The sequence below is a fragment of the Homo sapiens genome, chromosome 4, assembly GCF_000001405.40.
Source record: "Homo sapiens chromosome 4, GRCh38.p14 Primary Assembly".
NCBI lineage: Eukaryota > Metazoa > Chordata > Mammalia > Primates > Hominidae > Homo > Homo sapiens.
The window spans coordinates 190,072,983-190,089,726 of record NC_000004.12 but is presented as its reverse complement, the minus strand read 5'-3'; the positions used below and the strand labels follow the sequence as shown (position 1 = coordinate 190,089,726).

Here is a 16,744-nt window from a genome sequence, read left to right as displayed (position 1 = left end):
GTCCCTGCGTCGCTCTGTCTCTCCCTCCGTTCCTCCCTGCCTCCCTGCCTCCCTGCCTCCCTCCTAACGTCCCTCCGCCCGTCCTTCCGCCCCTCTAGGTCTCCCGTTCCTCTCTCCATCTCTGCCCGCCTTCCCTCCCGCCTGGAACGCTCAGCGTCCCCGGTGTGCGCCGGGCCTGGGGTCTGCGTTCCGCCGCCAGGCGCTCCGTGCTGGCAGCTGGGCGGCTGCAGGGGCCCGGGCGGGCGGGCGACGGTGGCGCGGGGGCGCAGAGGAGGCGAGCCGCCGGAGCGGTGTCAGGCCCGGACGCTGCGCGGGGCCCGGTGTTTCGCGGGACGGGGGTCTCCACCCAGCCCAGGGGACGACGCGTTTTCCGGGGGTGGGGGGTGGGGGTGGGGAGGGGGCGGTCAGGCGGCGGGGTGGGCTGGTGGAGAGGCAGGAGAGCTCTGCCCGGGCTGCTCCCACAGCCCAGGCGGCTGCCCGCAAACCCGCGCGTGCGCAGTAGGCGGCCCACCTGCTGGTACCTGGGCCGGCTCTGGGATCCCCGGGATGCCCAGGAAAGAATGGCAGTTCTCCGCGGTGTGGAGTCTCTCACCGGGCCTGGACCTAGAAGGCAGGAATCCCAGGCCGGTCAGCCCGGTGGAGGGGGCGGGGCGGAGACACGCCCCTCCGTAGCCAGCCAGGTGTTCCCCGCGAAAGAGAGGCCACCGCCCTGCCCCGAACCACCCGACCCCGTCCCAACCCCGCGTCCTAAAGCTCCTCCAGCAGAGCCCGGTATTCTTCCTCGCTGAGGGGTGCTTCCAGCGAGGCGGCCTCTTCCGAGGCCTCCAGCTCCCCCGGGGCCTCCGTTTCTAGGAGAGGTTGCGCCTGCTGCAGAAACTCCGGGCTCGCCAGGAGCTCATCCAGCAGCAGGCCGCAGGGGAGTGCAGACCAGGGCGCCGGCTCCTGGAGCGCCTGGGAGGGCGCCGGGATGCCTTGCATCTGCCCCTGCCGCGCGGAGGCGGAGGCGTCCGGGGGCGCGGGCTGGGGAGGTGGAGCTGCCCCGGCTTGGGGTTCCCACGCCGCCCCGGCGACCTGGGGACCCCGGCCCCAGCCCCACCACGGACTCCCCTGGGACGTGGGTGGCGCAAGCACCCCTTGGCCCTGCGGCCCCGCTTGAGCGGGCCCAGGCTGTGCCACCGCGCAGGGGCCCGGCAGGCCGTCGCGCTGCGGGTCCCGGTCCTCCCGGCTTTTGCCCGGGTGCGGAGGCCACCGAGGAGCCTGAGGGTGGGAGAGCGCCCCGTCCGGAGGAGCCGGGGCGGCGTAGGCGAAATCCCCGCGCGCCGGGGCAGGTTGGGAGACCCCCTCTGCCGGCGCGGCCTGGCTGGGCTGCAGCGCGGGGGCGGCCCTCGCTGCCTGGCTCACGAAAGCCCCCTGTGGGAGAGCCCCAGGCGCGCAGGGCACGTGGGGTGCGGGAAGCCCCGTTCCCCACGCGCCGGTGTGGGCGAAGGCGACCCACGAGGGAGCAGGGTGACCCCCGCCGGGGGCCGCGCTGCACAGGCCGCCTGCCTGCGCGGGCGCCCTGCCACCCTGTCCCGGGTGCCTGGCCCTTCGATTCTGAAACCAGATCTGAATCCTGGACTCCGGGAGGCCCGTCTCTCTGGCCAGCTCCTCCCGGGCGGCGATGCCTGGAAAGCGATCCTTCTCAAAGGCTCGGAGGAGCAGGGCGGTCTGGGATCCGGTGACGGCGGTCCGCTTTCGCCGGCCTTCTGGCGGGCCGCGTCTCCCGGGCCAGGGCCGAGATTCCCGCCGGTGCTGCCTCAGCTGGCGTGACCTCTCATTCTGAAACCAAATCTGGACCCTGGGCTCCGGAATGCCGATGGCCTGGGCCAGCCGTTCTCTGGTGGCGATGCCCGGGTACGGGTTCCGCTCAAAGCAGGCTCGCAGGGCCTCGCTTTGGCTCGGGGTCCAAACGAGTCTCCGTCGCCGTCCTCGTCCCCGGGCTTCCGCGGGGAGGGTGCTGTCCGAGGGTGTCGGGAGGGCCATCGCGGTGAGCCCCGGCCGGAATTTCACGGACGGACGCGGGCAGAGAGAGGCCGGCGGGCTCCCGTGCACCTCAGCCGGACTGTGCACTGCGGCAGGTGCAGCCAGGAGGCCTGCCCGGACAGCCAGCCAGCCAGCCAGCCGCCCTTGTAAAGGCCCACAGGCAGGCAGGCTCCACCCCTTCATGAATGGCGGTGAGCCCCCCTGGGACAGCCCGCCCCACCCCGGAAGGGACCCAGGGCGTCGAGGCCTGGGGCCGGCCGGCGGGGTGGTGGTGGTGGTGGTGGGGGGGGGGGGTGGTGGGGGAGGGCGTGGTGGCGGTGGTGGTGGTGGGGCCGGAGAGACGAAGAGGAAGGGGGAGAGGGGGGAGGGGGGAGGGGGGCGCGTTTCGGGGGCCGGCTCTCCGGACCTCTCCAGGGATCCCGCGGGAACGGGAAGCCGCTCTCTGGGCTCCCACGCGTCGGCAGCAGGGAGAAACCAGCCTGGGAGGGTGGAGGGGAGTGTGGAACTGAACCTCCGTGGGAGTCTTGAGTGTGCCAGGCCCTCTCTCCGTGAAGGAGGCAATGCCTGTGGGCGTCGCCGTTGCCGGGACGGTCTCGCACACGCAGGCGTGTGGCTCTCGTTCATTTCCACGTAGAAGACCAGAGCGAGACCCCAGAGAGGAGATGCCTCCCCGGCGTGATGGCCTGACGATGGATTCCCGCGTGCGGCAACGTGGGGAGTCTGCAGTGTGGCCGGTTTGGAACCTGGCAAGGAGAGCGAAGGCACCATGCCGGGCTTGCACCCTTCCCTGCATGTTTCCGGGTGCCCGCAGAGCTCCGGGAGCAAACAGTCGGCATGGCCAGCCTTTCGGGGGCCGGAGAGACGTGAGCAACAGGCCGCCTTGCGGAGGGCAAAGCCACGCGGAAACCAAAATCACGCCTCCGTCGTCCTGCGTGTGGCTCCTCCGTGGCCGGGGCTGTCGGCCTCGCGCCGCGTTGCAGGGCTCAGCCTGGGGATGTGCGGTCTGTGAACCGCGCGGGTGAAGACCCGACGGCAACCCGAGTCCCGGTCTTTTGTCCCGGAGGAAACCGCCCACTCCCTGGGCCCCGGAACCGGGGCGAATGGGTGGTGCCCCGCCGGCCGGCGCGGCGGCTGTGGGCCCAGCCCTCAGCCCGCGCCGGACGCTGACCGTTTTCCCGGAGGGCGGGGGTCCCGCTACTCCCGGAGGCCGAGGACCGCTTTTCCTCCCTGCCTTCCTCCCCCCGTCCCCGGCTCCCTCCCGCCCGCCCCCAGTCCCTGCGTCGCTCTGTCTCTCCCTCCGTTCCTCCCTGCCTCCCTGCCTCCCTGCCTCCCTCCTAACGTCCCTCCGCCCATCCTTCCGCCCCTCTAGGTCTCCCGTTCCTCTCTCCATCTCTGCCCGCCTTCCCTCCCGCCTGGAACGCTCAGCGTCCCCGGTGTGCGCCGGGCCTGGGGTCTGCGTTCCGCCGCCAGGCGCTCCGTGCTGGCAGCTGGGCGGCTGCAGGGGCCCGGGCGGGCGGGCGACGGTGGCGCGGGGGCGCAGAGGAGGCGAGCCGCCGGAGCGGTGTCAGGCCCGGACGCTGCGCGGGGCCCGGTGTTTCGCGGGACGGGGGTCTCCACCCAGCCCAGGGGACGACGCGTTTTCCGGGGGTGGGGGGTGGGGGTGGGGAGGGGGCGGTCAGGCGGCGGGGTGGGCTGGTGGAGAGGCAGGAGAGCTCTGCCCGGGCTGCTCCCACAGCCCAGGCGGCTGCCCGCAAACCCGCGCGTGCGCAGTAGGCGGCCCACCTGCTGGTACCTGGGCCGGCTCTGGGATCCCCGGGATGCCCAGGAAAGAATGGCAGTTCTCCGCGGTGTGGAGTCTCTCACCGGGCCTGGACCTAGAAGGCAGGAATCCCAGGCCGGTCAGCCCGGTGGAGGGGGCGGGGCGGAGACACGCCCCTCCGTAGCCAGCCAGGTGTTCCCCGCGAAAGAGAGGCCACCGCCCTGCCCCGAACCACCCGACCCCGTCCCAACCCCGCGTCCTAAAGCTCCTCCAGCAGAGCCCGGTATTCTTCCTCGCTGAGGGGTGCTTCCAGCGAGGCGGCCTCTTCCGAGGCCTCCAGCTCCCCCGGGGCCTCCGTTTCTAGGAGAGGTTGCGCCTGCTGCAGAAACTCCGGGCTCGCCAGGAGCTCATCCAGCAGCAGGCCGCAGGGGAGTGCAGACCAGGGCGCCGGCTCCTGGAGCGCCTGGGAGGGCGCCGGGATGCCTTGCATCTGCCCCTGCCGCGCGGAGGCGGAGGCGTCCGGGGGCGCGGGCTGGGGAGGTGGAGCTGCCCCGGCTTGGGGTTCCCACGCCGCCCCGGCGACCTGGGGACCCCGGCCCCAGCCCCACCACGGACTCCCCTGGGACGTGGGTGGCGCAAGCACCCCTTGGCCCTGCGGCCCCGCTTGAGCGGGCCCAGGCTGTGCCACCGCGCAGGGGCCCGGCAGGCCGTCGCGCTGCGGGTCCCGGTCCTCCCGGCTTTTGCCCGGGTGCGGAGGCCACCGAGGAGCCTGAGGGTGGGAGAGCGCCCCGTCCGGAGGAGCCGGGGCGGCGTAGGCGAAATCCCCGCGCGCCGGGGCAGGTTGGGAGACCCCCTCTGCCGGCGCGGCCTGGCTGGGCTGCAGCGCGGGGGCGGCCCTCGCTGCCTGGCTCACGAAAGCCCCCTGTGGGAGAGCCCCAGGCGCGCAGGGCACGTGGGGTGCGGGAAGCCCCGTTCCCCACGCGCCGGTGTGGGCGAAGGCGACCCACGAGGGAGCAGGGTGACCCCCGCCGGGGGCCGCGCTGCACAGGCCGCCTGCCTGCGCGGGCGCCCTGCCACCCTGTCCCGGGTGCCTGGCCCTTCGATTCTGAAACCAGATCTGAATCCTGGACTCCGGGAGGCCCGTCTCTCTGGCCAGCTCCTCCCGGGCGGCGATGCCTGGAAAGCGATCCTTCTCAAAGGCTCGGAGGAGCAGGGCGGTCTGGGATCCGGTGACGGCGGTCCGCTTTCGCCGGCCTTCTGGCGGGCCGCGTCTCCCGGGCCAGGGCCGAGATTCCCGCCGGTGCTGCCTCAGCTGGCGTGACCTCTCATTCTGAAACCAAATCTGGACCCTGGGCTCCGGAATGCCGATGGCCTGGGCCAGCCGTTCTCTGGTGGCGATGCCCGGGTACGGGTTCCGCTCAAAGCAGGCTCGCAGGGCCTCGCTTTGGCTCGGGGTCCAAACGAGTCTCCGTCGCCGTCCTCGTCCCCGGGCTTCCGCGGGGAGGGTGCTGTCCGAGGGTGTCGGGAGGGCCATCGCGGTGAGCCCCGGCCGGAATTTCACGGACGGACGCGGGCAGAGAGAGGCCGGCGGGCTCCCGTGCACCTCAGCCGGACTGTGCACTGCGGCAGGTGCAGCCAGGAGGCCTGCCCGGACAGCCAGCCAGCCAGCCAGCCGCCCTTGTAAAGGCCCACAGGCAGGCAGGCTCCACCCCTTCATGAATGGCGGTGAGCCCCCCTGGGACAGCCCGCCCCACCCCGGAAGGGACCCAGGGCGTCGAGGCCTGGGGCCGGCCGGCGGGGTGGTGGTGGTGGTGGTGGTGGGGGGGGGGGGTGGTGGGGGAGGGCGTGGTGGCGGTGGTGGTGGTGGGGCCGGAGAGACGAAGAGGAAGGGGGAGAGGGGGGAGGGGGGAGGGGGGCGCGTTTCGGGGGCCGGCTCTCCGGACCTCTCCAGGGATCCCGCGGGAACGGGAAGCCGCTCTCTGGGCTCCCACGCGTCGGCAGCAGGGAGAAACCAGCCTGGGAGGGTGGAGGGGAGTGTGGAACTGAACCTCCGTGGGAGTCTTGAGTGTGCCAGGCCCTCTCTCCGTGAAGGAGGCAATGCCTGTGGGCGTCGCCGTTGCCGGGACGGTCTCGCACACGCAGGCGTGTGGCTCTCGTTCATTTCCACGTAGAAGACCAGAGCGAGACCCCAGAGAGGAGATGCCTCCCCGGCGTGATGGCCTGACGATGGATTCCCGCGTGCGGCAACGTGGGGAGTCTGCAGTGTGGCCGGTTTGGAACCTGGCAAGGAGAGCGAAGGCACCATGCCGGGCTTGCACCCTTCCCTGCATGTTTCCGGGTGCCCGCAGAGCTCCGGGAGCAAACAGTCGGCATGGCCAGCCTTTCGGGGGCCGGAGAGACGTGAGCAACAGGCCGCCTTGCGGAGGGCAAAGCCACGCGGAAACCAAAATCACGCCTCCGTCGTCCTGCGTGTGGCTCCTCCGTGGCCGGGTCTGTCGGCCTCGCGCCGCGTTGCAGGGCTCAGCCTGGGGATGTGCGGTCTGTGAACCGCGCGGGTGAAGACCCGACGGCAACCCGAGTCCCGGTCTTTTGTCCCGGAGGAAACCGCCCACTCCCTGGGCCCCGGAACCGGGGCGAATGGGTGGTGCCCCGCCGGCCGGCGCGGCGGCTGTGGGCCCAGCCCTCAGCCCGCGCCGGACGCTGACCGTTTTCCCGGAGGGCGGGGGTCCCGCTACTCCCGGAGGCCGAGGACCGCTTTTCCTCCCTGCCTTCCTCCCCCCGTCCGTCCCCGGCTCCCTCCCGCCCGCCCCCAGTCCCTGCGTCGCTCTGTCTCTCCCTCCGTTCCTCCCTGCCTCCCTGCCTCCCTGCCTCCCTCCTAACGTCCCTCCGCCCGTCCTTCCGCCCCTCTAGGTCTCCCGTTCCTCTCTCCATCTCTGCCCGCCTTCCCTCCCGCCTGGAACGCTCAGCGTCCCCGGTGTGCGCCGGGCCTGGGGTCTGCGTTCCGCCGCCAGGCGCTCCGTGCTGGCAGCTGGGCGGCTGCAGGGGCCCGGGCGGGCGGGCGACGGTGGCGCGGGGGCGCAGAGGAGGCGAGCCGCCGGAGCGGTGTCAGGCCCGGACGCTGCGCGGGGCCCGGTGTTTCGCGGGACGGGGGTCTCCACCCAGCCCAGGGGACGACGCGTTTTCCGGGGGTGGGGGGTGGGGGTGGGGAGGGGGCGGTCAGGCGGCGGGGTGGGCTGGTGGAGAGGCAGGAGAGCTCTGCCCGGGCTGCTCCCACAGCCCAGGCGGCTGCCCGCAAACCCGCGCGTGCGCAGTAGGCGGCCCACCTGCTGGTACCTGGGCCGGCTCTGGGATCCCCGGGATGCCCAGGAAAGAATGGCAGTTCTCCGCGGTGTGGAGTCTCTCACCGGGCCTAGACCTAGAAGGCAGGAATCCCAGGCCGGTCAGCCCGGTGGAGGGGGCGGGGCGGAGACACGCCCCTCCGTAGCCAGCCAGGTGTTCCCCGCGAAAGAGAGGCCACCGCCCTGCCCCGAACCACCCGACCCCGTCCCAACCCCGCGTCCTAAAGCTCCTCCAGCAGAGCCCGGTATTCTTCCTCGCTGAGGGGTGCTTCCAGCGAGGCGGCCTCTTCCGAGGCCTCCAGCTCCCCCGGGGCCTCCGTTTCTAGGAGAGGTTGCGCCTGCTGCAGAAACTCCGGGCTCGCCAGGAGCTCATCCAGCAGCAGGCCGCAGGGGAGTGCAGACCAGGGCGCCGGCTCCTGGAGCGCCTGGGAGGGCGCCGGGATGCCTTGCATCTGCCCCTGCCGCGCGGAGGCGTCCGGGGGCGCGGGCTGGGGAGGTGGAGCTTCCCCGGCTTGGGGTTCCCACGCCGCCCCAGCGACCTGGGGACCCCGGCCCCAGCCCCACCACGGACTCCCCTGGGACGTGGGTGGCGCAAGCACCCCTTGGCCCTGCGGCCCCGCTTGAGCGGGCCCAGGCTGTGCCACCGCGCAGGGGCCCGGCAGGCCGTCGCGCTGCGGGTCCCGGTCCTCCCGGCTTTTGCCCGGGTGCGGAGGCCACCGAGGAGCCTGAGGGTGGGAGAGCGCCCCGTCCGGAGGAGCCGGGGCGGCGTAGGCGAAATCCCCGCGCGCCGGGGCAGGTTGGGAGACCCCCTCTGCCGGCGCGGCCTGGCTGGGCTGCAGCGCGGGGGCGGCCCTCGCTGCCTGGCTCACGAAAGCCCCCTGTGGGAGAGCCCCAGGCGCGCAGGGCACGTGGGGTGCGGGAAGCCCCGTTCCCCACGCGCCGGTGTGGGCGAAGGCGACCCACGAGGGAGCAGGGTGACCCCCGCCGGGGGCCGCGCTGCACAGGCCGCCTGCCTGCGCGGGCGCCCTGCCACCCTGTCCCGGGTGCCTGGCCCTTCGATTCTGAAACCAGATCTGAATCCTGGACTCCGGGAGGCCCGTCTCTCTGGCCAGCTCCTCCCGGGCGGCGATGCCTGGAAAGCGATCCTTCTCAAAGGCTCGGAGGAGCAGGGCGGTCTGGGATCCGGTGACGGCGGTCCGCTTTCGCCGGCCTTCTGGCGGGCCGCGTCTCCCGGGCCAGGGCCGAGATTCCCGCCGGTGCTGCCTCAGCTGGCGTGACCTCTCATTCTGAAACCAAATCTGGACCCTGGGCTCCGGAATGCCGATGGCCTGGGCCAGCCGTTCTCTGGTGGCGATGCCCGGGTACGGGTTCCGCTCAAAGCAGGCTCGCAGGGCCTCGCTTTGGCTCGGGGTCCAAACGAGTCTCCGTCGCCGTCCTCGTCCCCGGGCTTCCGCGGGGAGGGTGCTGTCCGAAGGTGTCGGGAGGGCCATCGCGGTGAGCCCCGGCCGGAATTTCACGGACGGACGCGGGCAGAGAGAGGCCGGCGGGCTCCCGTGCACCTCAGCCGGACTGTGCACTGCGGCAGGTGCAGCCAGGAGGCCTGCCCGGACAGCCAGCCAGCCAGCCAGCCGCCCTTGTAAAGGCCCACAGGCAGGCAGGCTCCACCCCTTCATGAATGGCGGTGAGCCCCCCTGGGACAGCCCGCCCCACCCCGGAAGGGACCCAGGGCGTCGAGGCCTGGGGCCGGCCGGCGGGGTGGTGGTGGTGGTGGTGGTGGGGGGGGGGGGTGGGGGGGGAGGGCGTGGTGGCGGTGGTGGTGGTGGGGCCGGAGAGACGAAGAGGAAGGGGGAGAGGGGGGAGGGGGGAGGGGGGCGCGTTTCGGGGGCCGGCTCTTCTGACCTCTCCAGGGATCCCGCGGGAACGGGAAGCCGCTCTCTGGGCTCCCACGCGTCGGCAGCAGGGAGAAACCAGCCTGGGAGGGTGGAGGGGAGTGTGGAACTGAACCTCCGTGGGAGTCTTGAGTGTGCCAGGCCCTCTCTCCGTGAAGGAGGCAATGCCTGTGGGCGTCGCCGTTGCCGGGACGGTCTCGCACACGCAGGCGTGTGGCTCTCGTTCATTTCCACGTAGAAGACCAGAGCGAGACCCCAGAGAGGAGATGCCTCCCCGGCGTGATGGCCTGACGATGGATTCCCGCGTGCGGCAACGTGGGGAGTCTGCAGTGTGGCCGGTTTGGAACCTGGCAAGGAGAGCGAAGGCACCATGCCGGGCTTGCACCCTTCCCTGCATGTTTCCGGGTGCCCGCAGAGCTCCGGGAGCAAACAGTCGGCATGGCCAGCCTTTCGGGGGCCGGAGAGACGTGAGCAACAGGCCGCCTTGCGGAGGGCAAAGCCACGCGGAAACCAAAATCACGCCTCCGTCGTCCTGCGTGTGGCTCCTCCGTGGCCGGGTCTGTCGGCCTCGCGCCGCGTTGCAGGGCTCAGCCTGGGGATGTGCGGTCTGTGAACCGCGCGGGTGAAGACCCGACGGCAACCCGAGTCCCGGTCTTTTGTCCCGGAGGAAACCGCCCACTCCCTGGGCCCCGGAACCGGGGCGAATGGGTGGTGCCCCGCCGGCCGGCGCGGCGGCTGTGGGCCCAGCCCTCAGCCCGCGCCGGACGCTGACCGTTTTCCCGGAGGGCGGGGGTCCCGCTACTCCCGGAGGCCGAGGACCGCTTTTCCTCCCTGCCTTCCTCCCCCCGTCCGTCCCCGGCTCCCTCCCGCCCGCCCCCAGTCCCTGCGTCGCTCTGTCTCTCCCTCCGTTCCTCCCTGCCTCCCTGCCTCCCTCCCTCCCTCCTAACGTCCCTCCGCCCATCCTTCCGCCCCTCTAGGTCTCCCGTTCCTCTCTCCATCTCTGCCCGCCTTCCCTCCCGCCTGGAACGCTCAGCGTCCCCGGTGTGCGCCGGGCCTGGGGTCTGCGTTCCGCCGCCAGGCGCTCCGTGCTGGCAGCTGGGCGGCTGCAGGGGCCCGGGCGGGCGGGCGACGGTGGCGCGGGGGCGCAGAGGAGGCGAGCCGCCGGAGCGGTGTCAGGCCCGGACGCTGCGCGGGGCCCGGTGTTTCGCGGGACGGGGGTCTCCACCCAGCCCAGGGGACGACGCGTTTTCCGGGGGTGGGGGGTGGGGGTGGGGAGGGGGCGGTCAGGCGGCGGGGTGGGCTGGTGGAGAGGCAGGAGAGCTCTGCCCGGGCTGCTCCCACAGCCCAGGCGGCTGCCCGCAAACCCGCGCGTGCGCAGTAGGCGGCCCACCTGCTGGTACCTGGGCCGGCTCTGGGATCCCCGGGATGCCCAGGAAAGAATGGCAGTTCTCCGCGGTGTGGAGTCTCTCACCGGGCCTGGACCTAGAAGGCAGGAATCCCAGGCCGGTCAGCCCGGTGGAGGGGGCGGGGCGGAGACACGCCCCTCCGTAGCCAGCCAGGTGTTCCCCGCGAAAGAGAGGCCACCGCCCTGCCCCGAACCACCCGACCCCGTCCCAACCCCGCGTCCTAAAGCTCCTCCAGCAGAGCCCGGTATTCTTCCTCGCTGAGGGGTGCTTCCAGCGAGGCGGCCTCTTCCGAGGCCTCCAGCTCCCCCGGGGCCTCCGTTTCTAGGAGAGGTTGCGCCTGCTGCAGAAACTCCGGGCTCGCCAGGAGCTCATCCAGCAGCAGGCCGCAGGGGAGTGCAGACCAGGGCGCCGGCTCCTGGAGCGCCTGGGAGGGCGCCGGGATGCCTTGCATCTGCCCCTGCCGCGCGGAGGCGGAGGCGTCCGGGGGCGCGGGCTGGGGAGGTGGAGCTGCCCCGGCTTGGGGTTCCCACGCCGCCCCGGCGACCTGGGGACCCCGGCCCCAGCCCCACCACGGACTCCCCTGGGACGTGGGTGGCGCAAGCACCCCTTGGCCCTGCGGCCCCGCTTGAGCGGGCCCAGGCTGTGCCACCGCGCAGGGGCCCGGCAGGCCGTCGCGCTGCGGGTCCCGGTCCTCCCGGCTTTTGCCCGGGTGCGGAGGCCACCGAGGAGCCTGAGGGTGGGAGAGCGCCCCGTCCGGAGGAGCCGGGGCGGCGTAGGCGAAATCCCCGCGCGCCGGGGCAGGTTGGGAGACCCCCTCTGCCGGCGCGGCCTGGCTGGGCTGCAGCGCGGGGGCGGCCCTCGCTGCCTGGCTCACGAAAGCCCCCTGTGGGAGAGCCCCAGGCGCGCAGGGCACGTGGGGTGCGGGAAGCCCCGTTCCCCACGCGCCGGTGTGGGCGAAGGCGACCCACGAGGGAGCAGGGTGACCCCCGCCGGGGGCCGCGCTGCACAGGCCGCCTGCCTGCGCGGGCGCCCTGCCACCCTGTCCCGGGTGCCTGGCCCTTCGATTCTGAAACCAGATCTGAATCCTGGACTCCGGGAGGCCCGTCTCTCTGGCCAGCTCCTCCCGGGCGGCGATGCCTGGAAAGCGATCCTTCTCAAAGGCTCGGAGGAGCAGGGCGGTCTGGGATCCGGTGACGGCGGTCCGCTTTCGCCGGCCTTCTGGCGGGCCGCGTCTCCCGGGCCAGGGCCGAGATTCCCGCCGGTGCTGCCTCAGCTGGCGTGACCTCTCATTCTGAAACCAAATCTGGACCCTGGGCTCCGGAATGCCGATGGCCTGGGCCAGCCGTTCTCTGGTGGCGATGCCCGGGTACGGGTTCCGCTCAAAGCAGGCTCGCAGGGCCTCGCTTTGGCTCGGGGTCCAAACGAGTCTCCGTCGCCGTCCTCGTCCCCGGGCTTCCGCGGGGAGGGTGCTGTCCGAGGGTGTCGGGAGGGCCATCGCGGTGAGCCCCGGCCGGAATTTCACGGACGGACGCGGGCAGAGAGAGGCCGGCGGGCTCCCGTGCACCTCAGCCGGACTGTGCACTGCGGCAGGTGCAGCCAGGAGGCCTGCCCGGACAGCCAGCCAGCCAGCCAGCCGCCCTTGTAAAGGCCCACAGGCAGGCAGGCTCCACCCCTTCATGAATGGCGGTGAGCCCCCCTGGGACAGCCCGCCCCACCCCGGAAGGGACCCAGGGCGTCGAGGCCTGGGGCCGGCCGGCGGGGTGGTGGTGGTGGTGGTGGGGGGGGGGGGTGGTGGGGGAGGGCGTGGTGGCGGTGGTGGTGGTGGGGCCGGAGAGACGAAGAGGAAGGGGGAGAGGGGGGAGGGGGGAGGGGGGCGCGTTTCGGGGGCCGGCTCTCCGGACCTCTCCAGGGATCCCGCGGGAACGGGAAGCCGCTCTCTGGGCTCCCACGCGTCGGCAGCAGGGAGAAACCAGCCTGGGAGGGTGGAGGGGAGTGTGGAACTGAACCTCCGTGGGAGTCTTGAGTGTGCCAGGCCCTCTCTCCGTGAAGGAGGCAATGCCTGTGGGCGTCGCCGTTGCCGGGACGGTCTCGCACACGCAGGCGTGTGGCTCTCGTTCATTTCCACGTAGAAGACCAGAGCGAGACCCCAGAGAGGAGATGCCTCCCCGGCGTGATGGCCTGACGATGGATTCCCGCGTGCGGCAACGTGGGGAGTCTGCAGTGTGGCCGGTTTGGAACCTGGCAAGGAGAGCGAAGGCACCATGCCGGGCTTGCACCCTTCCCTGCATGTTTCCGGGTGCCCGCAGAGCTCCGGGAGCAAACAGTCGGCATGGCCAGCCTTTCGGGGGCCGGAGAGACGTGAGCAACAGGCCGCCTTGCGGAGGGCAAAGCCACGCGGAAACCAAAATCACGCCTCCGTCGTCCTGCGTGTGGCTCCTCCGTGGCCGGGTCTGTCGGCCTCGCGCCGCGTTGCAGGGCTCAGCCTGGGGATGTGGGGTCTGTGAACCGCGCGGGTGAAGACCCGACGGCAACCCGAGTCCCGGTCTTTTGTCCCGGAGGAAACCGCCCACTCCCTGGGCCCCGGAACCGGGGCGAATGGGTGGTGCCCCGCCGGCCGGCGCGGCGGCTGTGGGCCCAGCCCTCAGCCCGCGCCGGACGCTGACCGTTTTCCCGGAGGGCGGGGGTCCCGCTACTCCCGGAGGCCGAGGACCGCTTTTCCTCCCTGCCTTCCTCCCCCCGTCCCCGGCTCCCTCCCGCCCGCCCCCAGTCCCTGCGTCGCTCTGTCTCTCCCTCCGTTCCTCCCTGCCTCCCTGCCTCCCTGCCTCCCTCCTAACGTCCCTCCGCCCATCCTTCCGCCCCTCTAGGTCTCCCGTTCCTCTCTCCATCTCTGCCCGCCTTCCCTCCCGCCTGGAACGCTCAGCGTCCCCGGTGTGCGCCGGGCCTGGGGTCTGCGTTCCGCCGCCAGGCGCTCCGTGCTGGCAGCTGGGCGGCTGCAGGGGCCCGGGCGGGCGGGCGACGGTGGCGCGGGGGCGCAGAGGAGGCGAGCCGCCGGAGCGGTGTCAGGCCCGGACGCTGCGCGGGGCCCGGTGTTTCGCGGGACGGGGGTCTCCACCCAGCCCAGGGGACGACGCGTTTTCCGGGGGTGGGGGGTGGGGGTGGGGAGGGGGCGGTCAGGCGGCGGGGTGGGCTGGTGGAGAGGCAGGAGAGCTCTGCCCGGGCTGCTCCCACAGCCCAGGCGGCTGCCCGCAAACCCGCGCGTGCGCAGTAGGCGGCCCACCTGCTGGTACCTGGGCCGGCTCTGGGATCCCCGGGATGCCCAGGAAAGAATGGCAGTTCTCCGCGGTGTGGAGTCTCTCACCGGGCCTGGACCTAGAAGGCAGGAATCCCAGGCCGGTCAGCCCGGTGGAGGGGGCGGGGCGGAGACACGCCCCTCCGTAGCCAGCCAGGTGTTCCCCGCGAAAGAGAGGCCACCGCCCTGCCCCGAACCACCCGACCCCGTCCCAACCCCGCGTCCTAAAGCTCCTCCAGCAGAGCCCGGTATTCTTCCTCGCTGAGGGGTGCTTCCAGCGAGGCGGCCTCTTCCGAGGCCTCCAGCTCCCCCGGGGCCTCCGTTTCTAGGAGAGGTTGCGCCTGCTGCAGAAACTCCGGGCTCGCCAGGAGCTCATCCAGCAGCAGGCCGCAGGGGAGTGCAGACCAGGGCGCCGGCTCCTGGAGCGCCTGGGAGGGCGCCGGGATGCCTTGCATCTGCCCCTGCCGCGCGGAGGCGGAGGCGTCCGGGGGCGCGGGCTGGGGAGGTGGAGCTGCCCCGGCTTGGGGTTCCCACGCCGCCCCGGCGACCTGGGGACCCCGGCCCCAGCCCCACCACGGACTCCCCTGGGACGTGGGTGGCGCAAGCACCCCTTGGCCCTGCGGCCCCGCTTGAGCGGGCCCAGGCTGTGCCACCGCGCAGGGGCCCGGCAGGCCGTCGCGCTGCGGGTCCCGGTCCTCCCGGCTTTTGCCCGGGTGCGGAGGCCACCGAGGAGCCTGAGGGTGGGAGAGCGCCCCGTCCGGAGGAGCCGGGGCGGCGTAGGCGAAATCCCCGCGCGCCGGGGCAGGTTGGGAGACCCCCTCTGCCGGCGCGGCCTGGCTGGGCTGCAGCGCGGGGGCGGCCCTCGCTGCCTGGCTCACGAAAGCCCCCTGTGGGAGAGCCCCAGGCGCGCAGGGCACGTGGGGTGCGGGAAGCCCCGTTCCCCACGCGCCGGTGTGGGCGAAGGCGACCCACGAGGGAGCAGGGTGACCCCCGCCGGGGGCCGCGCTGCACAGGCCGCCTGCCTGCGCGGGCGCCCTGCCACCCTGTCCCGGGTGCCTGGCCCTTCGATTCTGAAACCAGATCTGAATCCTGGACTCCGGGAGGCCCGTCTCTCTGGCCAGCTCCTCCCGGGCGGCGATGCCTGGAAAGCGATCCTTCTCAAAGGCTCGGAGGAGCAGGGCGGTCTGGGATCCGGTGACGGCGGTCCGCTTTCGCCGGCCTTCTGGCGGGCCGCGTCTCCCGGGCCAGGGCCGAGATTCCCGCCGGTGCTGCCTCAGCTGGCGTGACCTCTCATTCTGAAACCAAATCTGGACCCTGGGCTCCGGAATGCCGATGGCCTGGGCCAGCCGTTCTCTGGTGGCGATGCCCGGGTACGGGTTCCGCTCAAAGCAGGCTCGCAGGGCCTCGCTTTGGCTCGGGGTCCAAACGAGTCTCCGTCGCCGTCCTCGTCCCCGGGCTTCCGCGGGGAGGGTGCTGTCCGAGGGTGTCGGGAGGGCCATCGCGGTGAGCCCCGGCCGGAATTTCACGGACGGACGCGGGCAGAGAGAGGCCGGCGGGCTCCCGTGCACCTCAGCCGGACTGTGCACTGCGGCAGGTGCAGCCAGGAGGCCTGCCCGGACAGCCAGCCAGCCAGCCAGCCGCCCTTGTAAAGGCCCACAGGCAGGCAGGCTCCACCCCTTCATGAATGGCGGTGAGCCCCCCTGGGACAGCCCGCCCCACCCCGGAAGGGACCCAGGGCGTCGAGGCCTGGGGCCGGCCGGCGGGGTGGTGGTGGTGGTGGTGGGGGGGGGGGGTGGTGGGGGAGGGCGTGGTGGCGGTGGTGGTGGTGGGGCCGGAGAGACGAAGAGGAAGGGGGAGAGGGGGGAGGGGGGAGGGGGGCGCGTTTCGGGGGCCGGCTCTCCGGACCTCTCCAGGGATCCCGCGGGAACGGGAAGCCGCTCTCTGGGCTCCCACGCGTCGGCAGCAGGGAGAAACCAGCCTGGGAGGGTGGAGGGGAGTGTGGAACTGAACCTCCGTGGGAGTCTTGAGTGTGCCAGGCCCTCTCTCCGTGAAGGAGGCAATGCCTGTGGGCGTCGCCGTTGCCGGGACGGTCTCGCACACGCAGGCGTGTGGCTCTCGTTCATTTCCACGTAGAAGACCAGAGCGAGACCCCAGAGAGGAGATGCCTCCCCGGCGTGATGGCCTGACGATGGATTCCCGCGTGCGGCAACGTGGGGAGTCTGCAGTGTGGCCGGTTTGGAACCTGGCAAGGAGAGCGAAGGCACCATGCCGGGCTTGCACCCTTCCCTGCATGTTTCCGGGTGCCCGCAGAGCTCCGGGAGCAAACAGTCGGCATGGCCAGCCTTTCGGGGGCCGGAGAGACGTGAGCAACAGGCCGCCTTGCGGAGGGCAAAGCCACGCGGAAACCAAAATCACGCCTCCGTCGTCCTGCGTGTGGCTCCTCCGTGGCCGGGGCTGTCGGCCTCGCGCCGCGTTGCAGGGCTCAGCCTGGGGATGTGGGGTCTGTGAACCGCGCGGGTGAAGACCCGACGGCAACCCGAGTCCCGGTCTTTTGTCCCGGAGGAAACCGCCCACTCCCTGGGCCCCGGAACCGGGGCGAATGGGTGGTGCCCCGCCGGCCGGCGCGGCGGCTGTGGGCCCAGCCCTCAGCCCGCGCCGGACGCTGACCGTTTTCCCGGAGGGCGGGGGTCCCGCTACTCCCGGAGGCCGAGGACCGCTTTTCCTCCCTGCCTTCCTCCCCCCGTCCCCGGCTCCCTCCCGCCCGCCCCCAGTCCCTGCGTCGCTCTGTCTCTCCCTCCGTTCCTCCCTGCCTCCCTGCCTCCCTCCCTCCCTCCTAACGTCCCTCCGCCCATCCTTCCGCCCCTCTAGGTCTCCCGTTCCTCTCTCCATCTCTGCCCGCCTTCCCTCCCGCCTGGAACGCTCAGCGTCCCCGGTGTGCGCCGGGCCTGGGGTCTGCGTTCCGCCGCCAGGCGCTCCGTGCTGGCAGCTGGGCGGCTGCAGGGGCCCGGGCGGGCGGGCGACGGTGGCGCGGGGGCGCAGAG

General features: G+C 72.6%; 5 pseudogenes; all 5 read right to left on the bottom strand.

The window, feature by feature from the left end:
* Positions 738 to 2,022, bottom strand: DUX4L3 (double homeobox 4 like 3 (pseudogene); annotated as a pseudogene).
* DUX4L1 (double homeobox 4 like 1 (pseudogene)) lies at positions 4,031 to 5,315 on the bottom strand (annotated as a pseudogene).
* DUX4L4 (double homeobox 4 like 4 (pseudogene)) lies at positions 7,331 to 8,609 on the bottom strand (annotated as a pseudogene).
* Positions 10,625 to 11,909, bottom strand: DUX4L5 (double homeobox 4 like 5 (pseudogene); annotated as a pseudogene).
* Positions 13,918 to 15,202, bottom strand: DUX4L6 (double homeobox 4 like 6 (pseudogene); annotated as a pseudogene).